Source organism: Homo sapiens, chromosome 14 (genome assembly GCF_000001405.40).
Source record: "Homo sapiens chromosome 14, GRCh38.p14 Primary Assembly".
In the NCBI taxonomy this organism is placed as follows: Eukaryota; Metazoa; Chordata; class Mammalia; order Primates; family Hominidae; genus Homo; species Homo sapiens.
The window spans coordinates 65,896,631-65,923,398 of record NC_000014.9 but is presented as its reverse complement, the minus strand read 5'-3'; the positions used below and the strand labels follow the sequence as shown (position 1 = coordinate 65,923,398).

General features: G+C 40.9%; 1 pseudogene; it reads left to right on the top strand.

Annotated features, from left to right (window-relative positions):
• Nucleotides 21,949–22,625, top strand: FTH1P13 (ferritin heavy chain 1 pseudogene 13; annotated as a pseudogene).

The following is a 26,768-nucleotide window of genomic DNA, read 5'->3' as shown; positions in this document are numbered from 1 at the left end:
CACTTTGGGAGGCCAAGGTGGGTGGATCACCTGAGGTCAGGAGTTCGAGACCAGCCTGACCAATATGGTGAAACCTGGTCTCTACTAAAAATATAAAAATTAGCCAGGTGTGGTGGCATGTGCCTGTAGCCCAGCTACTCAGGAGGTTGAGACAGGAGAATTGCTTGAACCCCAGAGGCGGAGTTTGAAGTGAGCTGAGATCGTGCCACTGCACTCAGCCTGGGCAACAGAGCAAGACTCCATCTCAAAAAAAAAAAAAAAAAAATTTAACCCACTGTAGTCTAGGCTGCGCTTTCAGGGCAGATTTAGCCCTTCACAGACAGAGTCACGGTGCTGTCCAATGACATTTGCATAATAAAGGAAATGTTCTCCAATTCTGTGGTAGCCACTAGCCACATGTGGCTACTGAGCATCTGAAATGTGACTAGTGCAACTAAGAAACTGAATTTTAAATTTTGCTTTAGTTAATTTAAGCTTAAATATCCACATGTGACTAGTGGCTACGATCGTGGATGGCAATGTGAATTAGGGTGTGGTGAGGTTACCAGTGGCATCATGAGAGCTTTAAGCTTTCTCCAGCCCACCGGAAGGAAGGTCAAGCTCATCAGGGGCACTACAGATATTCTTGGTAAAACTTATCTGAAACACATTGTTGAAAATTAAAGCTTCTGGACCTGCAACTCATGAAGAAATTCTACAATTCTTGTACTCTTTTTTTCTCTATCATTTGCTCCATCTCAGATTGCTAAAAAAAACAATGGGTTTGGAAAAGTATCCAAACATGGCCCTTAAACCCTTTGTGTGGGCATAGGCATAAGTATTATTTAATCTTTACCAGTAACACTATGAGATAGCTAGAATTCCCATTTTCCAGGTGAACAAACTAAGGTTCAGAGAGTTTTAAAAACTTGCCAGAAACGCTCAGCAGAAGAAAGGATTTTTACCCAGATCTATCTGATTTCATTACATCCTTAACCACACACATGAATGTTCCATAATTCAAGCCACAAATGTACTTTTCTCCTCCTGTTTCTTGCACACAAAGCATCTGGCCTCCAGATTGTTGTTTTTTTTTTCCCCATCTCTGTCATTACTGGCTTGATGTTAGAAATGCTAAGTAAAAGAAGTGCCTGGAACCACTGAATATTAATACCTGGCATTTGCACAGCGCTTTACAGTTTACAAAACATCCTGACATTTGTTATTTCATTTAATTCCCACTCCCGTCAACCATATGGGAAATTATTATCTCTTTTTAATGAAGTTGGGGGGGTGGTAACTCATAGAAACTAAGTGAGCCCCCAGTTAGACAGAAATGGACCCAGGGCTCAGACCCAGGCCTTCTGACTGGGAGACCTGGGCTGTGTCTCCTGCTCAAAGCTTTTGCCTCAGAGGCAGCAGATAGATGCAGACAGGCAATCTTAACCTTTCCGTGCCTTGAACTCCTATGACCACTTATAGAATAATGGTTTTTTTTGAGACAGTGTCTCACTCTGTTGCCCAGGCTGAAGTACAGTGGTGCAATCATGGCTCACTGCAGCCTCAACCTCCTGGGCCCAAGCCATCCTCCCACCTCAGCCTCCCTAGTAGCTGGGACTACAGGCACGTGCCACCATGCTCAGCTAATTTTTTTTTTTAATTTTTTGTGGAGACAAGGTCTCCCTATGTTGCCCAAGTTGGTCACAAACTCCTGGGCTCAAGCAATCCTCCCGCTTCAGCCTCCCACAGTGCTGGGATTACAAGCATGAGCCACCGCACACAGCCAGAGTAATGTTTTTAGATACACAAAGTCAAATACATAGGGTTTCAATGGAAACCAATTACACTGAAATTAAAAATATTTTTAATCAAATGTGTGAAATACTGTTACACATGTGCTTCTTTATTAACCCGATCTAGCAGCTGGTCTAATAACTTTTGCAGTTTCAAACCAGTGATCAGTGTAAATGATACTTGAAGGTATGTGCAACGATAGTAATGTCATGAAAATCTCTTCAGTTTCTGATAGTGAGAAAGACATAGGTACTGCTAATACTATTGTGGGGTTTTTTGCCCACATTTATAATAACAGAAAAATACTTAATTTCAGTTAAAGGCTAGTAAAGACATTTTTTCCCAAGTTCACAGAACCATTTAATTTTATCCATAGAATCCATAGGACCACCCACGTAGACCTCTCAGTCTAGAGGCTTCAAAAATCCTCAAGACTGAATCATATCTCCCTCCTCCATGACCAACGAAGAAATTTGAGATTGCTGGCTTGGATTAAGTAAGGAAAATTAGAAACATTTTGATGGCCATGACAGTCAACTTGGGAACTCTACTTCTAGTGCATTCTCACTACAGTGCCCTGGAGTCAATGAGTTTTCTGTGTACCCATGCTAATGACCATAAGCATCCCCACCATCTACCTTGTGTCTATGCGGCACCTTCCTGCCCAGGACTCAGGGGATTACATCCAGGAATATCCAAGAGAGTCAGGAACTTGTGGCTTCTTCCTTTCATTTTAAACATTCACTTCCATAACTGATTGTCAGAACACCTCATTTTGGTTGTTCAAGAACAGTATTATTATCCCTGTTTTATAGCTGGAAGCAAAAATGAAATACCAAGTGATTGAGTGACCATCCCAAGGTCACACAGCATTACTGCAGAGAAGGTAATTCAGTGCTCACGACATTCAAAATCCTATTCAGTATTTAGAAATTGGGAATGAGGAGGGGTCAATGACGCGGAAGGGTGCAGAAGGCAGACACATACAGAAATGAGGCCAGGTAAATCAGGCTAGTGACTGTGCATTTAGCAGGTATGTGCTCAAAGTTCTTAAAGTAAACACTTTAATTCTATTTCCATCACTGAAAAAGAGAAAAGAGAGAAAGGTGACCCTGGTGATTTGTCATCTCAAATTTCAAGGATTGCATGGCAGATGGTGGCATGCCCAGACCTAGCAGCAGCTCTTGGCTAAAGGGAGATGTTGAATCTCTCAGCTCCTGCGGACGGATCTATAGTAATTTCTTGATGTACCCAGGCAGAGTGATTGGCTGTCGCGAATCATTCCAGAACTCACGTAGAAGAACAAATAGGGGAAATGGCATTTATACGGACTCACCCTCAAGTAAATAACTTTACTGTTTTTCTCGCCTATCCTATGATAGGCGAGAAAATCACTGAAAGCCTGTTTTTCCTTTGGTCATTAGTTTTAGCCCATTAACTGCATGATAAACAAGGATTTAATTAAAAGCCACTATCATATTTAAAACTCATGACACATACCAAGAATAAGCTTATGTTGTTGAAAGGATCACAGTATAGAGTAGCAGGGGGAATTCTAAGACAGTTATTAAACTGGAAATTCATTTGCTCCAGTGGAGAAACCCCAAACACTTGCATTTTAACCTGTCAAGGATCTTTAATTTGCCTTTCATCTGATGAGGAATTTGGAGGTTTTTGAGTATTTGAAGCAATTTATCACTCCCTGTCCTTCTACTTATCTCTGTGGGCATTTACCAAAGAAAGTCTGGAGCTAAAATATGAACATATAATTTGTATGTGATATATATATATATATATATAAACCAAAATGTCTTCCCCAAGCCTGGCACAACTGTCACTGGTGCCACTACTGAACTTTCCTCAGGATTTTACAGCTCCAGAGAAGATATGCCTGTTCCTAGGCTTTAATTTCAACAAAGGACCACAAGAGGTGGGAGGGAGATGGGGAGGAAGGGATACTAAGGACTTGCCTTGTTGCCTGAGAGGCTCTTGTCATGCTTGCCGCAGTGCACAGGGGGCAAAGGTTCATGGAAATTCTTACTCCTGGGCTGGTGGAGACAGAGATGGATACCTGTGAGTCTCCCTGTTGTTTGTCTCTTCCTGGGGGAGCAGTTTAAGAAAAGGGACTAGGGCAAGTGGAAATGGAGTTGATTAGGAAACTCCACCCTACACTTTGCTTATGTTTATGTCAAATACATGAGGGTGACCACCATCCTCATCAATAGATCATAATGTGCTTGCTCATTAAGCCCAGACACAGCCCCAAAATGCCTCTCTACAGGAGCCTCCACCAATCAGAGTTGGGATAAGAGACAGAATCCCCTTACCATGTTCAGCCTTTGCCTGTCTTTGCCCATGCAACAAATAGTTGCATTTGTGGTTGTTTTAGCCTTTTCAATATCCTGCATGGTGAATGGTGAAATACCTATCATGGATCATTAGGCCTTACTGTCCAACAGATGCTACTCACACACGTCGTACTCCTAGTATGCTAACTATAACTCGACTGCCCTCTCCTATACCAGAAAGCATATTCAAATGCGGGCAAATGTCAGGGGCAATATTCTAGGGACAATAAGGAAAACATTTTATTTCTTAAGTAAACAATCAACAAATTTCATTATAAATGTTATAAGAAATTACTTGCCACACATCTCGCAGCTGTGTAGCAGTGAGGTACCTTAAGCACTGCCTTAGACACTGGAAAGCAGCTTCAGGGTCCAGGACAAGACGACAGTCCAGCCCTCATCCTGTAAATCTGAGGGTGCCGGCAGGAGTCAGCCTGACATCCATGCCACACCCTGGCAGTGTTGGTCTGTTCCTTTTGATCAGTTACCTGTAGGCAAACTTTCAGCCCCTGCTTCAGAGAGAAGCTGAAGACCTAGGGGCAGCTTTGTCTACTAATGGCTCCCCATGAAGTGCCTCAAATTAGTCTTGGGGTTGTAATAAAAGAGGAGCCAGGACCTGCCAACTTGTCCCACCCTATATTCCCTCCCTAGACCTTCACACACACACACCACCCACCCCGAATCCCCACATCCCCACATCTTGCATTAGGCATATGGAAGTCTTGAGCAAAAGCCAAAGAAACAAGAAAGAAAAGTTTGAATCGGTAAATGGCTTTATTGCTCCATGTTTAACCTCAGCGTCTTCCAGGCAGGAAACTCTCATTCCCCATTTGCTGTTTACCTTGAGGAATCTGAAGTTTAATGAATTTCATGCAAGAAATATTCATGAGATGACAACTGCCCAGTGAATCCCTCCTACTGGGGAGGTGGGCAGGACAGGGAATTTGACTAGAGGCATTGCCAGAGCCCTTGGAAATAGGGAGGCTTCCTGTCTTTGTTTCCTTTTAATGGATCTAGTGGCCTCCTCAGTTACAGCTCTTGGTGAGTAGGGAAGCGTCCTGGATAAGGCTGCACTTCGCATGATACAGCTCGTCACTGAACTCCACCAAAGTCAGCTCTGGGATCACAACATTACCAGGCAGTGTTCACGCAGTGAGGCCAGCTGCCCTCTAACAAGAACTGATGGAGCCTCCCAGAGGAGGCCCCCCAGAAGGTGAGAAGAAATATTGATTAGAAATTCAAAAACAAGATTTTCACCCTCCCAGTGGGCTATGCTGGGCTGTAGCCCTTGCAGAATAATTGAAAAAAATATTATGTCAACAACTCCCTGGGAAGAGAGACATGACCTCTTCGAGGCCCTGAGCCTTTAGTTTTCAGAGATTCAGGAAGGCCCTCAGCTTGGCAGTGGGAGAAATTAAATCCATTCGTTGATGCCACATTTGGATCGTTGATGCCACATTTGGAGGCAAGCCTCGGTTTGTCACAGGGTGGTTTATTTCATGGTTAAGGATAGAGGAAAGTAAAATCAGAGATGGTAGACCCAGCAAAACATTTGTCTGACTGAATTTGGGTTTCAGACCCTGCTGCTGTAGACGACCCCCAGCTCGGGTCACCATGAGAGCTCATGAGTTCTTGCTTGGTGACTGAGGGCTTTGCTGTGGTTCCTGAGAAAAGAGGGAGTTGGAGGCGGGGGTGGGGAGGAGGAGATTCAAGTAAAAGGAAGACCAGGGAAAGGTGTGATGCCCTTTCTGGCTCAGAGTTTCTGTACTTAGAATGTGATACAAATCTGACAGGCCAAGAGATATTTGAGATGATCAGTGTTATCTTTTTGACAGAAAAAAAAAAAAAAGAGAAGGAAACAGAGACAGTCAGCGTAGGCCCTACAGTGCTGCTGGCAGAAGGAAAGTCTCAAACCATTAGCTCTCACACACACAGCAGGGAATGACTCCACCACTGCCTCCAGCTCCTCCTCTCCAAGCTGGGAGATCACCCATTCACCACCCTCTTAAAACCCATTAAAAAAAAAAATCACTTCATAATGCTGACAAATACACTGGGGACCCAACTTAAAAAGAAACTTTAATTTCTATAAGTAATTTTTGATAATGATTGTGATATGGAGATTTATTGAAAAAAATTAAAATGAAATAGCAGCAAGCTATTCAATGCACATTTCTGACCTGGCACCTTTTTAAAAGCCTGATGTTGCTGCGCTGAGATGCACTCCTGTGACCAGCGGCCTCACCCTCCCCCTCCTTGAAGTGGGTGTCAAGGCCACCCGCAGTGAGCTAAGCCAGGCTTCTGGTCCGGTCCGGGGATCTATTGAACTGTCACACCAGCAAGCCCACCCCAACATCATCCCCAACAAACATCAACCTCACTTTTCTTACTATTATTCCAAGAGTTTTTATGACCAGCTTTAGGAAGGCATGAAGCATTAAAAGCAACAGTAAAGCAACTTTTTCCCCCTACAGACATCTTGGTCTTGGCATACACAGTATTGCATTACATTCCTAAACTCTCTTTTTCTCCCCTAGATTACCATGACTCTTTCCCTTCTCTGCCACTTTGTCACTTCTCTTCTTATTCTCTCTTAATTCCACAGAATATTCTTATTTTGGTCAGAAATAAGATTTGGAGTAGAATAAACTTTGGCAGCAGCATATCAGGGCCAGATGTGTTTGTTTTGTAATTCCAGAGCCAAGGTATGTGGTTTCCTGGGTCTAAAATGATGAGGCGCCAGTGTCACAGTGGGCAGAATCTAAAAAGTTCTTGACCAGGAGGACCACATCATTCACTTGACAAATTTAGTATCCATGCAAAAGGCACTTGACCTGGCAGATTCCAGGAACCACAAGATGATAGTCATGTCTAATGGATGGCCTGGCCATAGGACCCCCTCACTCTGTCCTCTTGATTAGATCAAAACATTAGGAAGAAAATACAAGAATGAATCTTTCTGGAATTCTGATAAGCACTTGTCCTTGGTCAAGTGCAGAAAGCAGAACTTAGCATAATGCTGACTTATGGATTTTTAGCTATCAAAAAGTTGAAGAGAGCTAACGGGTCAAGGAGATGAGCCAGGACACTCTTTGCAAAATTGGTGAGAACAATGGGAAAGACTTAACAGAATCTTCGATGATGGGTAAGTTTAGAGCAGGGATCAGCAAAGTATAGCCTACAGGTCAAATAAAGCCTGACATCTGTTTGTTTGTTTTTAATAGCTTTTTAAATTATAATTTAGATACCATACAATTCACCATTTAAAGTATAAAATTCAGTCTTCTAGTAAATTCACACAGTTGTGCAACCATCACCACCATCTAATTTTGGTATTTTCATTCCGTATACAAGAAACCTCATTAGAAGTCAGTCCCCATTTCCCTCTTTCTCCTTTCTTCCCCCCACCTCCATCCTAAGCAACCACTAGTCTACTTTCTATCTCTATAAATTTGCCTATTCTAAAAATTTAAAAATTTGAATTGAAAAGTGAATGAAAACGGAATCATATAATAGGTCGCCCTTGTTACTGACTTCTTTCATTTAGCATAATTTTTAAAAATCCATCCATGTTATGCATGTAGCAGTATTGCTTTTTAAAGCCAAATAATATTCCATTATATAAATACACTACACTTTGTTTATTCATTTATCATTTGATGGATATTGGGTTTTTTATCTTTTTGCTATTATGAATACCACTATGAAATTCTATGTGTAAATATTTGTGTGAACATATATTTTCATTTGAGTATATACCTAGGAGTGGGATTACTGAATCATATGTAACTCTCTGTTAATTATTTGAGGAGCTGTCAGACTCTTCCAAAATGGCTGCATCATTTTATTTTTCCACCAGCAGTGTATGAGGATTCAAATTTCTCCACATCCTTGCCATCACTTGTTATTGTCTTTTCTTAATCTAGCCATCCCAGTGGGTGTGAAATAATATCTCATTGTGGTTTTCATCTGCATTTCCCTTAATGACTCATGATGTTAAGCATCTTCTCTTGTGCTTGTTGGTATGTATATCTTCTTTGGAGAAATGTCTATCAAATCCTTTGCCCATTTTATTCATTGGATTACTTGTCTTTTTCTTGTTGACTTGTTAAGACTTCTTCATATATTCTAGATGCAGGTCCTATATCAGATATATGATTTGCAAATATTCTCTCTCCCTCTGTGGATTGTCTTTTTACTTTCTTGATAGTACCTTTTGAAGCACAAAGCTTTTAGCTTTGATGACATCCAATTTATCTTTTTTTTTTTTCCTTTGTTGCTTCTGCTTTTGGTGTCATATCTAAGAATCCATTGCCAAATCCAAGGTCATGCAGATTTACCCCTGTGTTTTCTTCTAAGGGTTTTATAGTTTCAGCTGTAACATTTGTATTTTTGATCCATTTAGAGTTAACTTTTGTATATGGTTAGAGGTAAGGGTCCAAATTCAACCTTTGCATGTGGTTATCCACGTTGTTCCAGCACCATTTGTTTAGAAGGCTTTTCATTCTCTATTAATTGGTCTTGTCGCTCTTGTCAAAAATTAGTTGACCATAGACACATGGTTTTATTTCTAGATTCTCAATTATATTGTATTGATCTACATATCTCTCCTTATGTCAGTACCACACTGTCTTGGTTATTACAGCTTTGTAGTAAGTTTTGAAATCAGAAAGTGTAAGTCCTCCAACTCAGTTTTTTCTGCAGGATTGTTTTACCTACCTGGGTCTCTGACATTTCCATATAAATTTTAAGATCACTCTGTAAATTTCTGAAAATAAACAAAAAAAGCTGCCTGATATTTTGACAGAGATTGCTTGAATCTGTAGATCAATTTAGGAAGTATTGCCATCTTCACAATATTGTCTTTCAATTCATACATATGAACTGTCTTTCCATTTATTTGGATCTTCTGAATTTTTTCAACAATATTTTACAGTTTTCAGAAGTCCTGGACTTACTTTGTTAAATTTATTCCTAAGCATTTTATCCTTTGTTATGCTGTTGTAAATGAAATTGGTTTTGGAATGTCATTGTTAGTGTATAGAAATACAGTGCATTTCTGTAAATTGATCTTGTATGCCACAACCTTGTTAAATTTATGTATTAATTCTAATCATGTTATTTAGGATATTCTGTATACAAATGTCATATATCTATTTACAATGTCATCTACAAATAGAGATAGTTTTATTTCTTCTTTTTCAGTCTGGATGCCTTTTACTTACTGTTCTTGCATAATTGCCCAGGCGGAAGCTTCCAGAGCAATGTTGAATAAAAGTGGTGAGAACAGACATCTTACTCTGGTTTCTGATCTTTTCTGATCTTAGAAGGAAAGCATAAGCATGATGTTAGCTGTGGATTTTTTGTAGATGCTCGTTATCAAGTTAAGGAAGTTCTCTTCTATCCCTGGTTTGTTGAACATTTTTATTACCACTATCTCTTTTTGTATAAAGTTTTATTGGAGCACAGCCATGTTCATGCATTTACATATTGTCTACAGCTACTTTTGCACTGTTAGCAGCAGAGTTGAGCAGCTGTTACAGAAACTATATGACCCACAAAACCTACATATTTACTATCTGGAACTTTACAGAAAAAATGTAGTGGCCATTGGTTTAGAAAAGAAAGGGGTAGGCCTGCTGGAAGAAGAGCATCAATCAAGCTTGCAAAGGGATATTAAATGGAAGAGAAATAGAGGAATCAGATTATGGAGGCTGAGAAAACTGACACAAATGAAATAAATAAATGAGCCATTATAGGACACCCAGAAGGGAGTGACATCAGGAATATGGAAGGCAAGGAGAGGTGTGAAGAAAAGAGCAGCCCGGGAGGATTTGCAAACAATCCTGGTGTCTAGTCCTAGACAGGGAGGTGAGCCTGTGGGTGGCCTTCCAAGGAACCCCATGGCTGGTGCTGGGAAAGGGCTGTGGGCGAGGAGTCAGGAGCCCTCGTTCCAGTCTTGACCCAGGCTCTCCCCTGGGCAGCTCCTTCCATCAACCCGGCCTCAGCTTCCTCAGCAAGTGAAACAAGGGAGTTAGGTTCCATAACTGAAGGTTCCTTCCACCTCTGCTTTTCCACAGTTCGAAGCTGTAGTTTCAAGGACAATGAGAAACAGCATTTCCTCCTTTTCCTTTCTATCCTCCTATGAAAGGCAGGCTTGATATTTCCCATCACATCCTCATTTTAAGGCCAGCACACCCTCCGAGCCCCTTTCAGCTACTTTACAAGTTTGGTCGTAAAAGCCACCCATACGCTGACACATGGTTTTCCACGTTCATGGATCAGAATCCCCTGAAAAGCTTGTTGAAACAAGCTGCTGGGCCCCACACACAGAGTCTCTGAATCAGTGGGCTGTGGTGGAGCCCAGGAACGTGCATTTTAAGTCCACAGGTGCTGCTGATGCTGAGGCCACACTCTGAGACCACTGGGCAAACACTCTTCCTCCAATCCATCCCACTGTTAAAACATGAGAATCAGATTTTCTCTCCTTCTCTCGGCTCTTGCTGCCCAGCCACATCTTCCTTCATCAACACGTATTTCATGCATAGGGGACTCCTGGAACTCTTCTTGATGTCCTCCCAAGCCAAGTAATCTTCAGACAACCCCAGGGCTCCAGCATCTCTTGAGACCTGTTTCTAACATAGCCCTAGAGGGAGTCACTTACCCTCCACTTACTGTTTGGGAAGTCAAGGTAATTCAACAACACAGGATGCCATGAGAGTTGATCATTAAGAGTTTGCCAAATGCTCTAGAGGGCATTCTGTAATAGATAGTGATGACAATGGCAGAGTACTGAATTTGAAAGAACCTTGATAGAAGACTGTGCACAGAGTAAGGAAATGGACTCATAAAACCCCTCTGACAAACATGTAAGGTACAAAAATTGAGATTTAGAGATTTACAACTATTTGGAGACAGGAATTGCATACTTCTGCTGTGAGGCATTAGCAATATACATTTCAAAACAGTCTTCAAAAACTTTTTTTACATTTTCCAGTGATGGACTGAAAAGTAGCCTGCTTCTCCTCTTTGGGGACTCTTTTGGGCTCCTCTTTTGGGCTGCTTTCCCTAGCTGTTGGCTGGGCTCACACTCCAAGGCTCCTGATTTCCACTTCTTTAGAGCTCATCATGACTAACAGGCACATCCCAGTTTGTTTTGTTTGTTTGTTTGTTTGTTTGTTTTATAAGTCTCCATTATTCCCCACCAGCTCTTAATGCTTCATTTGCTCAGCTCTGACCTCCCACCACTAACATCTCTGATTGTGATGTTTCTCAGCCTAATTCCAGTCCAATAGATGCCTTAAGAAAGGAGAGCCCGGCCTAGTTTTCTATTCTCTGTGCTGGCTTCTTGGCTGATAAATAATGCCGGTATTGAAATTACTGCATTGTTGCTGTTGTTAGTGGTGGTAGTGCTGTCACTATTACTGAGAACCACATGATAGAACTCTGTTTTTCTCCCTCCTATCTTGCTCACAACCATGTTTTCCCCCAAGCTGCTTCTTAACACAAAAGGAAAAGTTAGCCAGCTGACCCTGGGAATCTGGGAGAGTCTCAGATTTGACAGCCAAAGTTGGATGTGTACTTAGTGGGTAATAAGTACCAGGCTGAGCATGTAAAATGCATTATTTCATACAGTCCTTAAAGCCCCAGGAGCTAGAAGTAGATACTGATGTTCCCATTTTACAGAAGAGGAAATCAAGGCTTAGGGTGGGTAAGCAGCATGGCCTTAGACATACAATTCGTGAGGAACAGAGCCAGGAATACTGGTGGTCTGACTCCAGAGCCTGGGGCTCTTAACCTCTCATCATATCACACTAGTGGGAAAGACAGATAAGTGAGATAAGATGATAGATAGATAGATAGATAGATAGATAGATAGATAGATAGACAGATAGATAGATAGATAGGATAGATAGGATAGACAGATGGACTTTAAACTGTAATTAAAGAGTGGAACACGCCACATTCAACCAGAAACATGCAGAGCCTACTGCCCTGGTTGTACTTCCTGTCATGGGTATTTTTAACCCCCAATGCAACAGTATTGAGAGGTGGGGCCTAATAAGAGGTGTTTTGGTCATGAGGGCTCTGCCCTACTGAGTGGATCAATGCCGCTATAAAAAGGATGTGTGGGAGTGAGTTCTCTCTCTCCTGCTCTCCGGCCATGTGAGGTCACAACGTCCCTCCTCTCCAGAGGATGCAGCAATAAGGCACCATCTTGGAACCAGAGGCTAGCACCTGGATCTTGGACTTTCCAACCTCTAGAACTGAGGAAATAAATTTCTGTTCTTTATAAATTACCCAATCTGTGGTATTCTGTTATAGCAGTACAAAATGGACTAAGACAGGCATCATCTTTCATCAGCTACTAAACAGTTACACCACGAGGGCAGTGATGATGTCTCGTCATCACCATGTCCCCATAGTCTAGTTCTGTGCTGGGCACACGCTAAAGAATTGTTAACTGGATGTACAATTGTTATCTCGGCATCTGAAAGAACAGTAAGAGAATTCTGTGGTATCACAGAGGTAGCAACTGCAGAAAGCAGCCCCGCTAGGTGCCCAACTGGCTGGGATAACCCTGATAGGAAAAAGAACCAGCAGAAAGTAAATAAAAGCAAGTCCCCTGCCTGCTCAGCATCACAGTCTCCCTGTAGCATCCCCTGTTGCAAAGTATAGTAGAGAGCCATCCAGCAAAGCAGAAGTGTGCTTTGCAGAGTCTCAGGTTCAGTATTACAAAATATTATGTAGGGAGCGGGTTTGGAGTGAGAGATAATACCTGAATAATTGGTTAGCTCATTATAGTGGGTTAAAAGAGTGTATACTTTTGCAAAAACAACAAATTAATTGGGGTATTTCTCTTAGCCTATAATAGTTGGTTTATGCCTTTTTCTTTCCTCTGCAGCATCCCTTCTCAGGGATGACTCAGAAGCAACTATTCTGTAATGTTTGCCAGGGAAACCCTGCAGAGACTGGCTGTTTCCATCCAGACGTGATGCAAACAATTCCAGGAGCTGCCAAAGGGAAGTCATGGAGCCTTGAGTTATGAATAAACTCTTTTTCAGGAATGGCTAGTTGAGAGAGATTTAAGCACTTGCCTCCAAACGGAAGGCACTTGCCTCCAAACTCTTTACTAAAGAGTTATGATGTTTAGTGTTTTTCCCCCTAAACATCGTAACTCTTTAGTAAAACAACCAAAACAACCATGTTGGGTATTATCTCCTGTACTCATAAGCAAAAAAAAAAAAAAAAAAAAAAAAAAACTATTTGACTCTACTGTTGTTGACTCTCAGAACAAAGTAATATGTGAACAGGTAAATTACAGGTGCCTCCTGGAAGGAGCCCACTTTCATCCAGTAAGAGATATAAAAGTCTTAACTAGAGGTTTCTGGAACCTAAATCCCTGAGCCCAGGTTTTTGTGCACATAGGTCTTTCATCCTGTTCTCCAAAGATTTCTGGGTGTTTTTTTCCGAGTTTATTCTTGCGTCTCTCCTCAATAAAAGCTGGACAGTGAAAAAGCAATGTGTCATTTATGTAAGGGAATGCTTTTGTTTAAAAGTGAATTACACCTCAAGCCCTGGAAAATATCACCTCCTGCTACTTGGTGTTTGCTTTGTTCTATGCACTCTTTTTTTATTTCTGTCTCCTGCAATTTTGGGTGGAGTCACACAGTGTTTTTCGCCACATCCCTCCCTACCTCATCCTGGCTGCCCACCCTGTTCTTCCTATATGCCTTCCATAAGGTGTCACACTCTGGGCTATAAATACCTTAATTTGCATCAGCTATAAGAGGGCTGACACTGTGCGGAGTCAAATATCCAAAAAGAAAATAGGCCTTAGGGAGTTTTGTTTTTTTTTTCAATCACTGAAAGGGAAGTCCTGACCCAATGAAGCTTGACTTCCTCTAGAATAGTAATATGTATGCAAGATGCTGTTGGCATAAGATACTTTCTAAAATAACATGGATTGTGGGAGTTTTCCTTTTTTATAATGCAAAGACAATTTAAGCAATAAAATATGTGGTGGTGTCACATGGAAGCATACAATATACATGCCATCATTGAATACTGCCTATGCTTCTAAGGTCTGATACGAATGATTATGAAATGGAGAAAGAATGTCCCCCAAAAGTATGCTGGGAAGAATTAAGCAATTTGTCCACTGCACTTTTCAAATTGGCCACGATTTTTTTAAAGATGAAACTCAGTGCTGGTAAGGGTGTGGAAGGACATAGACTGCTGATTGGAGTACACTATTACAATGGTTCGAAAAAGCAACTTAGAACCATATATCGCTAGACTTAGAAGTGATAACATATCGTGTCCGGGTAATTCCAATTTCAAGAATCTATACTAGGAAACAATTAGCAATGCTATTAAAGATTTATATAAAAGAAAGTTTATGAAAATGTTACTTACAACAGTCATTACTATTAGCAATAGGAATGACTATTATAAGTAAACTAACTATAGAAAAGGTCCAATAAACCATGGCATATTTGTACAATGAAATGTTACTTGGTACTTAACAATCATGTTACCGAGAAAAACTTAGTAACACGAAAAGGGGCTAGTGATGTAAGGCTATATTTTAAAAATAGCAGAACTCAGTACTGTGTATATAGTTTGCAACCTGTTGTTGCAAAAAATGAGTATAATATATGCAATATATGCACATATATATACATATATACGTGTGTGTGTCTATGTGTATTCCCTGAATGTTTGGTGGGTTACAGGTGAGTTTCACTTTTTTGTTAGATCCTACATAATTTCCAAATTATTTTTAAATGAGAAAAAGGTTATTTTAGAAACATATCTAAGTTATTTGATAATAGAAAATGATACCAGCATATTTATCATATTCCTTAAAAATACCATCTTAGTTGGGTTAGCAAGAACAATTCTCACAATGGGTTTTCCTTTTCTTTCCTGACACCTAAAGTCCACTGACTTGTGAGTTTTAGAAATGTCTCAATTTTTCTTCTTTTCCAGCGCTGATATATTACGACTGGACAAAGTTCTAGTGTCAGCAGCTAGGACAGCATGATTGACATTAACAGTAGGTTGGGCAGTTCTGAGATGTACCTCAGAAATGTTTGAAAACCATGGAAAGGCTAATTTAGTTTTTGAGGGTTAAGGACAAAATTATGTGTAATAATACATGTTCCTTTTGAAAAAGGTAACTAAAGTAACATAAAAGCTATTATGTTTTTTCTCACATCTTTTGGAGTAAAATGGCTCCTAGGAATTTTTACTAGCTCCCTTTTTTAGTTCCTATCCAGCAAACTGGGCTGATGCGTGGATAGGAAGAAGAAATTATATTCTAAGAAACTGCTTAAATATATTAATAACTGAAGTAAGGGGTACTTTATTTTTCCATGGTTCTTTTATGCATAGCCATCTCATTTGACCAGCAAAACAACCCATAAGTATTAGAACAGAAATTATTAAACCAAGTTGTGGAGATTAAGCACAGGATGAGAACATTCACCTATAGACTCTGGTGATTGTCTCTGAAGTCCTTTAACCCGTTGCTGCCCAAGGCTTCTACTCTGTCCTTGGGCCACGCAGAACCTAGTTATTATATTAGAGCTCACTCTCAACATGCCCCATGTGAGTGTCCAGAGCGCGAAAGCCCTCCCCAACCCACACTACACTCACCCCCCATTGCCAGAGCAGCAGGTTGACTGGGCTGTCAATTCCAACTGGGGCTTGAACCTCAACTTTCCTGGGACTCTTACATCCTATCTAGCCCTAGACTGAACTCATTTGGCTTGGGTTTCCCAGCTCTGACCCCTACCCTACTTATGCCACACACACACATACACACACACACACAGACACGCACACATGCACACATCACCATCACTACCACCACTGCCTCCATTAAGACGCTGGATTGTTTGCAAGCTGAGTCCTTACAGGTCGTCACGGGTCCCAAACCCATGTAGTTGTCAAAGCTGTAACAGAAGCAGTGTATGTCTCCAGATTCTTCCAGCCTTGTTTCCTCCTTTCTTCCTTCCTTCTCCCTCATTCCCTTCTTTCCTTGCTTTCTTCCTTCTCCCTCTTTCTGTCCCTCACTTTCTCCCTCCCTCCCTTTCTCCTTTCTGTCCTTTCTTCCTTCTCCTTCCCTCTTTTCCTTCGCCCTCCCTCCCTTCCTCCCTTCCTTCTTTCTTTCCTTCTCTCTCCCTCCCTTTTCTCCCATCTTTCCCTCTCTCCCTCCTTCCCTTACCCTCCTTTCCTCCTTCCTTTCTTTTCAGTTGTTACTTTGTTGTCCTTGGACTTCAGGTGCTGTCAGTTAAAGTCCTCAGCTGTTATCACCACTTTATCACAGTATCATCATCTGTCCATGCAAGGCCTCTCCATTGTCCTATTTATTAATTGATTCACTCTTTTTTCCCAAAGCCACTCCCTTTGTCTTCCCTCACAAGGCAATTGTAATGTGTTCAATGTGTATCTCTGTGCTTATAAGTGGTATAAAAGATGCAAATTGTTGATTTGCATGCATATATTTTTAATTGACATAAACAGTTTGGCATTCTCATTTTGTTTCCTACTTTTTTCATTCAACATTTTGTTTTATGATCCATTCATGTAGTAACTAGGTGTTCATCACATCCAGTGCTTCTAATTGCTGCCTCCATGGACCTGAATATCCACGACATTTCTCCATCCCCTTTCACACTGACTGCTATTCAGTTGCCAAGAAAAGCAGATGTGGGAGGAACCTGCTCCGCCTTTAATCACTGCTGAATTGCATCATTCATTCTGCCTCGTGTGTACAGCTATAAAGCATTAACTCTCCTAGAAAAAGTACACACTAAGTTATGCCAAGGTTCAATCCTAAACTGGCCACCAATCTACGTGGCCCTAAGTTTCTCCTGCCCACCAATCCCTACTAAGAAATGTTTAGTTTTGGATGTGTTCAGATGACATATTGAACCCATCCTTGCTCTATGTGAGCTCATAACAGGACTCATTAAACTTGTTTTTGTTTTTATTTTTCTGTTTTTGAGACGGAGTCTCACTCTGTCGCCCAGGCTGGAGTGCAGTGGCGCGATCTCGGCTCACTGCAAGCTCCGCCTGCCGGGTTCACGCCATTCTCCTGCCTCAGCCTCCCGAGTAACTGGGACGACAGGTGCCCGCCACCATGCCCAGCTAATTTTTTGTATTTTCAGTAGAGACGGGGGTTTCACCATGTTAGCCAGGATGGTCTAGATCTCCTGACCTTCTGATCCGCCCGCTTCGGCCTCCCAAAGTGCTGGGATTACAGGCGTGAGCCCCCGCGCCCAGCCAGGACTCAGTAACCTTTTTCCATTGGTGGCTGGGGGATAAATATCTTAGGCTTTGAGAGCCATACTGTTGTGGTTTCAACTATTCAACTCTGCCATTTTAGTGTGAATGCAACCATAGACAATATGTAAGCAAATGTACGTGGCTGCAGTCCAATAAAATTTTATTCATAAAAGGATGCAGTGAACTAGATTGACCATGAGCTGGGTTTGTTTGTGAGTCAGATTTGGCCACAGGAAGTAGTTTGACCATCCCTAGTTTATAACAACTGGTCTCACAGAAAAGAAATGAGGGTGATTACTTCTGGGACTCCTCCTTGTCTTACTGCCATATTGCTTGTCTACTGGTGAGAAGCTGAGGTTATAAAACTCTCTCCTCCCTGATATGCTTTTCTTCCTATTCTCCTCCAAACACTGATAAATCAAAGCCCATGATACTTGGCTTACAGTACACAGCCACTAAGTTTGTTGAATGAAAAAATTTCATATATGCAGACATTTAAGTTTGGTCTTAAAGATCACCAGAGACCAATCCCTGCAAATCAACAGCATTTCAAGCTTAAAGTAAGAGGATTTCTGCCTGGGTGTTTTCTGCCTGCTCTGAGAGGCAGCCCACTCCTTGGTGAGGCAGCCTCCTGTGCTAAACCACCAGGGATCAGCTACAGAAAAGCATTTCTGAGGCTGTACAGGATGTTTTCCGGTACCTGTTCGGGAAACCCTCACTTCTGTCTCCTTGTTGTCTATTACTGCACACTTCTGCAGTTGCTGAGTAATGCTCCTGGAGACATCATCCCAGCACAGCAGGCTCCCAATCACAGCTACTGCTGACAGCCAGGGAAACACAGTCAAAATCCTAGAAACACACACTTGACCTGGATTGAGGGCAGCAGCTTCTGGATTCATTCCTTTGCTAATTTCTTTTCTTTTCGTTTGGAGACAGGGTCTTGCTCTGTCGCCCAGGCTAGAGTGCCATGGCACAATCATGGCTCACTGCAGCCTCGACCTCCTAGGCTCAAGCAATCCTCCCACCTCAGCCTCCCAAGTAGCTGGGACTACAGGTATGTAATACCATACCTGGCTAATTTTTGTATTTTCTGTAGAGACAGGATGTTTCCATGTTGCCTAAGCTGGTCTTCTCTGCTAATTTCTAATTTCTTAAAGTGAAAGTAGATTCTCTGGATTTTCTGTTCTGTGAAGAAGGCTCCTTGGGAAGTAGGGGGCACTTCCTCACACTTTGGTGGCTATGGCTAAGGTGGCCAGAGGACTGGTTTCATCATCACTGTTCTTAGGTCTTGACAGCCAGTTCCAGGTCAGAATCCTGGAAAAACCCCTGGACAGATTTTGTTCCAGAGCCAGGGGGCCATGGTCCAGTCCAGATAAAGGATGGAGTGTATTATGTTTCTTAAATTGCAATATTTGCAGTAAGCCATTGTAATCCCTCACTGGGCACAAAATGTTAAAAGGAAAAAGGAAGACAGAAATAGAAGAGAGAAAATTAGGTGCAGGGGAAAGGACCAGAAAATCTAAATATAAACCAAAAAGATAAGTCTGTTCTATGAATTTTCATATCCAGTATACTCATTCAACAAATATTTATTTTAATTAACATTTTTAAAATGGAAATGTAATACATTCACATGGTCAAAATTTCAAATAAAGGTAAATAATGAAAGAGAAGCCTTCCTCTCATCTGAGCCCCTAGGGAAACACTGTGTATTCTTCCAGAGATATTCCCAGAATTGACAAACCTATTAAAATAATTTTTTTTTGACAGAGTTTCACTCTTGTCACCCAGGCTAGAGTGCAATAGTGCAACCTCAGCTCACTGCAACCTCTGCCTCCTGGGTTCAATCTATTCTCCAGCCTCAGCCTCCCAAGTAGCTGGGATTACAGGTGCTGCAACCATGCCTGGCTAATTTTTGTATTTTTAGTAGAGACGGGGTTTCCCCATGTTGGTCAGGCTGGTCTGGAACTCCTGACCTCAGGTGATCTGCCCACCTCAGCCTCCAAAAATGCTGGGATTACAGGCATGAGCCACCACGACCGGCCTAAAATAATTTCTTAAATGATGTAGAGTTCAGCCTCTTGCTTTATTCATTTCATTCCATGTCTTGGGTTGAAATCTACCATTTTGCTAATTTTTCTACCTTTCTATTTTGTCCTACCTGTTTTCTGTTTCTTTTTCTGTTCTCTTTTGCCCTCTTTAGGATTAATCAAAGTTTTTGTTTGTTTGTTACCATTCCACTGGCCTCCCTCATTAGTTTGTTAGTTATGTAATATGTTATTTTTTATTTTTTTGAAGAATTCCCTAAATGTGCAACATTAATTCCAAGAGTGATTGTGATTACCTCAGGCCCACACAGATGATTCAGGATAATCTCCTCATCTCAAAGGCCTTAATTGCATCTGTAGAATCCCTTTGCCATGTAAGGTAACATGTTTACAGGTTCTAGGGATTACAGCATGGACATCTTTGAGGAGTGGGGGACATTTTTCTGTCTACCACAACTAGAAATTCAAGGATTCTAGACTTGAATTACTAGATGTGGAAATATTCTGTAAGGAAAAACTATCTCTTCTCTCCTATTTATTCAATTATTTATTTATATCAGTATGGACTCATGGATGTTTATTTCAGTCTATAGATTATAACCCAATTGTACTATTATTTTTTTATTGCTCAAATTGTTCAGATTTGACCATTGGTTGCTCCTTCAGATGGGTTCCTGTGTCGTTTTGACATATCCCTATCCTTTTGAAACACTTCCTTCTTTTCTGGTACCATATGATGTTCCAAGTTCATTTTGTATTTTCTGTGCCCAAACCCTGGAATCTACCATTTTTCCTGTGGAACTCTGGTTCTTTTTATTGGAGAAACCAAGGTCTAGAAATCAGGCATGTTCATTGTTATTAAGTTCCACTCAGTGGACAGTTAGAATTAAACCACAGACACAATTGCTTCTCGGCCTTTTGGCTAAGATCAAGCGTAAACCACAAACAGAAACACACACACACATTCTATACTTGTGTATCCATTAAAAAAAAACATAAGTTCACACTGATACATCTGATTCCAGTCCAACAACACAAAGCTTATTTGTGTTTCTCCTTTCCTTATTTGTGGCTTCTTTCACTAACAGTGAGAAACCCAGTTCTCATTATCTATACTTATTTGTTCCTAGTATATAAACATAAAGTAGTTACAGAACTGCTCACCTATGCCCCATGTGCAGATTCTTGTGTCTTTCGTCATATAAGATCTAGTCAAAGTAACTGTTTTTCAAAATGACGTAAGTCAGTTCTTTCCTTCCCCATCCTCTTCAATATTTTTCATTTTTTAAAAAATTCGCAGCCAGGCACAGTGGCTTATGCCTGCAATCCTAGCACTTTGGGAGGCCAAGGCGGGTGGATCAACTGAGGTCAGGAGTTCAAGACCAGCCTGACCAATGTGATGAAATCTACTAAAAATACAAAAATTAGCTGGGTGTGGTGGCACGTGCCTGTAGTCCCAGCTACTTGGGAGGCTGAGGCAGGGGAATCACTTGAGATGGAGATTGCGGTGAGCCGAGATCACGCCATTGCACTCCAGCCTGGGCAACAAAAGCAGTGAAACTCTGTCAAAAAAAAAAAAAGAAAGAAAGAAAAAAGAAAGAAAAAAAATTCGCTTGTTCTGGTTTTTATTTCATTTTGATTATTCTTACATCCTGTTTGCTTTGAAGTGTTTGTTTATATTTGGGGGTATGTGTAAGATGCTGATTCTAAGAGTCAAGGCTATACAAAATGGTGTACTCAACAATATATCTAGACGTTCTTCACTGGGAGTCGCCGAGGTTTCCTGCTTCAACAGTGTTTGCATGTAACACAGTGCTGGTCCTCTACCCCCACCCCCCACCCCACCCCTGCGGCTCACAGTCAGCCCTCTGCCTCCTCCTCACCAAGCCCTCAGACAGCTCCAAGGCCCCGGCTGCTCCAGTGCCACACAGCCGCTGCCACCTCTCCTTAGCCTCCATGTTGACTACATCCCCCTTGCAGGTGAGCCACCACTACCATACTATTGGAGGGTCTTGACTGGGAGTCATCCAGATTCTTGGCATTTTGAACAAAGAATTGGACAAAATGCACAAGCAAAGCAACTAAAGGATGAAGCAAGGAAAGGACAGATTTACTGAAACAAAAGTACACTCCACAGAGAGCAGGAGCAGGCTGAGCAAGCAGTTCAAGAGCACTGGTTACAGAATTTTCTGGGGTTTAAATACTCTCTAGAGGTTTCCCATTGGTTACTTGGTTACACCCTTTGTAAAAGAAGATTTGGCCCACGACCAGTCTGATTGGTTGTGGGAGGGGACCAGCAGCTGAAGTGAAGTTACAGATGTACTTTCTATTTTTCATCTGCAAGGCAGCACAAAGAGAGTAGCCTCTGATCTTTTCGTTACTTGGGCACGGGGAGGTGGGGTTTCCTTTTGATTCGGTTCTAGGACATCAGTGCAAATTGGCCTTAGGTTCCCAGCCTCCACACCCTATTCTCCTGCCTCACCACCAGAACACAGAGGCTGCCATCAACTGCCAGCTCAACCTGGAGCTCACGCTACACCTCCTAACTCTTCCTGTCCATATCTTACTACTTTGACTGCGATGATGTGGCTTTGAAGAACTTTTCCAAGTACTTTCTTCACCAATCTCATGAGAAGAGGAAACATGCCGAGACACTGAAGATGCTGCAGAACCAGCAAGGTGGCTGAATCTTCCTTCAGGATATCAAGAAACCATACTGTAATGACTGGGAGAGCAGGCTGAATGCAATGGAGGGTGTATTACACTTGATAAAAAACATGAATCAGTCACTACTGGAACTGCACAAACTGGCCACTGACAAAAATGACCACCACTGTGTTGACTTCATTGAGACACATTACCTGAATGAGCAAGTGAAATCCATCAAAGAATTGGGTGACCATGTGACCAAGTCACACAAGGTGGGAGCCCCTGAATCTGGCTTGGCAGACTATCTCTTTGGCAAGCTCACCCTGGGACAGAGCAATAATGAGAGCTAAGCTTTAGGCTAATTTTCCCATAACCATGGGTGACTTCCCTGGTCACCAAGGCAGTGCATGCATGTTGGGGTTTCCTTTACCTTTTCTATAAGTTGTACCAAAACATTCACTTAAGTTCTTTGATTTGTACTATTCCTTCAAATAAAGACATTTGGTACACCTCCACCCCCCCCAAAAAAAGTCACTCCTCTTCATCACTATCAGCACAGCCCCATTCCCATTACTTCCTACCCATCCCTAAGATAATCTCATTTATACTTCCTGAATTTTTTTGTGAAAACAAGCAGCTATGTGTGTTTTATCCTTTTTTTCTTATATAAGGAATGGCATACTATAGATATTCTTTTGTTCTTTCCTTTTCTTCTCTTAACAGTATATTCTGGAAATCATTCCAAATTGGTTCTTATAGATTGTCTTTATTCTTCTATACAGCTATACAATGCTCCATTTTGTAGATGTCATATAGTTTATTCAACCAGTTCTCTATGTATGGGCATTTAGGTTGTTTCCAATACTTTGCAATTCTAAACAATGCTGCAACAAATAAAAGTGTACATATGCATTGTGTTAGTTTATTTGCATTGCTAAAAAGGAATACTGTAGACTGGGTAATTTATGAAGAAAAAAGATTTATTTGGCTCATGGTTCCGCAGGCTGAACGTGAAATGTAGTGCCACATCTGCTGCTGGTGAGGGCCTAAGGAAGCTTACAATCATGTTGGAAGGTGAGGGGAAGCCAATGTGTCACATGGTGAGAGAGAGAGTGAGAGAGGAAGAAGGTGCCAGGCTCTTTTAAACAACCATATCTTACATGAACTCATAGAGTGAGAACTAACTCATTACTGTGAGGACTGCACCAAGCCATTCATGAGTGATCCATCTCCATGACACAAAAACCTTCCACTAGGCCCACCTCCAACACGGGAGGGCACATGAAATTTGGAAGGTACAAAACATCCAACATATATAATAAATGTTTGTGCTCTTGGAGATATGTCTTCAAGGTGTTTCCTAGAAGTAGGATTGCTGAATCAAAAGTAAGTGAATATGTTGTTTTGATGGTATTGCCAAATTTTTCTCCAAAAGAGTTAGTATATTTTTAAATATTCTGTGTGACAAAATACGAAGTATACATAAAGCACTTTTGCTGCATTCCAAAGTACAATGGCTGCCTTGAAGAAAAGCATTTGTGCAAATAATTGAGTTGTGAGCTAAACTATCAATTTTTTAAAATGACACGGCAGTTTTTAATTGAAAAAACAAACTGACATCAGCAATAGTTATTCAGACTTAGGAATCTGGCAGATATTTTCTCAAACATTAACAAAGTAAGCCTGGGGAAAAAAAAGACAGTATTTGTTGCCAATTATGAAATCTGAGCTTTCACATGAAAATTAGAATTTTTGAAAACTGGTCCCACCACTATGAGTTTTCCAAAACTTAAAGAATCTTCAGATGAGATGGTGGCAATTTTAACTGTTGGGATTTTTTTTATATTGCATAATAAAATATGTCAACATTCAGAAGACATGTATAACTCATGAGCCAACATATTCAAAATGACCGATGCATAATGTTATAAAATCATACTTAAGTAAAAGATCCACTCAAAGAGCAAGATAGACAAAACTATATGGTTTCAGATTCCACATTCAAAAAATTCTTAAGAAACTACTATTTATCAAATTCTGGCATAATATCAAAGAAGAATGCCCACAATTACCTGCAAAACCTATTAAACTACTCCTCCCTTTTCCAACTGCATAATTGCGTGAAACTAGATTTCCTTCAGATACTTCAACCAAACCAAAGTATTACAACACATCAATGCAAAATCCCATGTAAATTCAACTGTCTTCTCTTAAACCACACGTTGAAGACAGTAAAACAATGCCACTCTTCTAATTAATTTCTCATTTTGGAAACTACAGTTATTTTTCATGAAAATATGTAACTTGTTGTAAGACTAAGACGGTTCAGATTGCTTCTATAACAAAATACCATAAGTTAGGTAGCATATAAAAACAGAAACATTTGTCTGATTTCTGGAGTTTGAGAAGTCCAAGATCAAGGCGCTGGGAGATTCAGTGTCTGGTGAAGAGTTGCTTTCTGGTTCGCAGATGGTGTCTTCTCCCTGAGTCCTCACATGGGGGAAGAGGCAAAGGAGTCCCCTTAAGCCCTTTTATAAGGGCATTAATCTGATTCATGAGGGCTCTGCCCTCATGACCTAGTCATCTTCCAAACACCTCATCTAATACCATCACCTTGAGGATTAGGATTCTAACATGTGAATTTTGGGGCAGGGGGACAAACATTCAGACCATAGCACTAATGTTACAGTAATGGTTTTATTATCATTATTTTTGTTCTTGTTTGTTTTATTATGCTAAAATATATATAGCAGAAAAATTGTCATTTTAAGAATTTTTTTGTTTTGTTTTCTTTTTTATTATAATTATACTTTAAGTTCTAGGGTACGTGTGCACAACGTGCAGGTTTGTTACATAGGTATACATGTGCAATGTTGGTTTGCTGCACCCATCAACTCATGATTTACATTAAGTATTTCTCCTAATGCTAGCTCTCGCCCAGCTCCCCACCCCAGACCGGCCCTGGTGTGTGATGTTCCCCACCCTATGTCCATGTGTTCTCATTGTTCAACTCCCACCTATGAGTGAGAACATGCAGTGTTTGGTTTTCTGTCCTGTGATAGTTTGCTTAGAATGATGGTTTCCAAGTTCATCTATGTCCCTGCGAAGGATGGACATGAACTTATCCTTTTTATGGCTGCATAGTATTCCATGGTGTATATGTGCCACATTTTCTTAATCCAGTCTATCATTGATGGACATTTGGGTTGGTTCCAAGTCTTTGCTGTTGTGAATAGTGCCGCAGTAAACATACATGTGCATGTGTCTTTATCGTAGAATGATTTATAATCCTTTGAGTATATGCCCAGTAATGGGATTGCTGGGTCAAATGGTAATTCTAGTTCTAGGTCCTTGAGGAGTCGCCACACTGTATTCCACAATGGTTGAACTAATTTACACTCCCACCAACAGTCTAATAGTGTTCCTATTTCTCCACATCCTCTCCAGCATCTGTTGTTTCCTGGCATTTTAATGATCACCATTCTAACTGGCATGAGATGGTATCTTATTGTGGTTTTGATTTGCATTTCTCTGATAAGCAGTGATAATGAGCATTTTTGCATATGTCTGTTGGCTGCATAAATGTCTTCTTTTGAGAAGTGTCTGTTCATATCCTTTGCCCACTTTTTGATGGGGTTGTTTTTTTCTTGTAAATTTGCTTAAGTTCTTTGTAGATTCTGGATATTAGCCCTTTGTCAGATGAGTAGATTGCAAAAATTTTCTCCCATTCTGTAGGTTGCCTGTCCACTCTGATGATAGTTTCTTTTGCTGTGCAGGAGCTCTTTAGTTTAATTAGATCCCATTTGTCAATTTTGGCTTTTGTTGCCATTGCTTTTGGTGTTTTAGTCATGAAGTCTTTGCCCATGCCTATGTCCTGAATGGTATTGCCTAGGTTTTCTTCTAGGGTTTTTATGGTTTTAGGTCTTACATTTAAGTTTTTAATCCATCTTGAGTTAATTTTTGTATATGGTGTAAGGAAGGGATCCAGTTTCAGCTTTCTACATATGGCTAGTCAGTTTTCCCAGCACCATTTATTAAATAGGGAATCCTTTCCCCATTGCTTGTTTTTGTCAGGTTTGTCAAAGATCAGATAGTTGTAGATGTGTGGTGTTATTTCTGAGGCCTCTGTTCTGTTCCATTGGTCTATATATCTGTTTTGGTACCAATACCATGCTGTTTTGGTTACTTTAGCCTTGTAGTATAGTTTGAAGTCAGGTAGCGTGATGCCTCCAGCTGTGTTCTTTTTGCTTAGGATTGTCTTGGCTATGCGGGCTCTTTTTTGGTTCCATATGAACTTTAAAGTAGTTTTTTCCAGTTATGTGAAGAAAGTCAATGGTAGTTTGATGGGGATAGCATTGAATCTATAAATTACTTTGGGCAGTGTGGCCATTTTCACAATATTGATTCTTCCTATCCATGAGCATGGAATGTTCTTCCATTTGTTTGTGTCCTATTTTATTTAGTTGAGCAGTGGTTTGTAGTTCTCCTTGAAGAGGTCCTTCACATCCCTTGTAAGTTGGATTCCTCGGTATTTTATTCTTTTTGTAGTAATTGTGAATGGGAGTTCACTCATGTTGTGGCTCTCTGTTTGTCTATTATTGGTGTATAGGAATGCTTGTGATTTTTGCATATTGATTTTGTATCCTGAGAC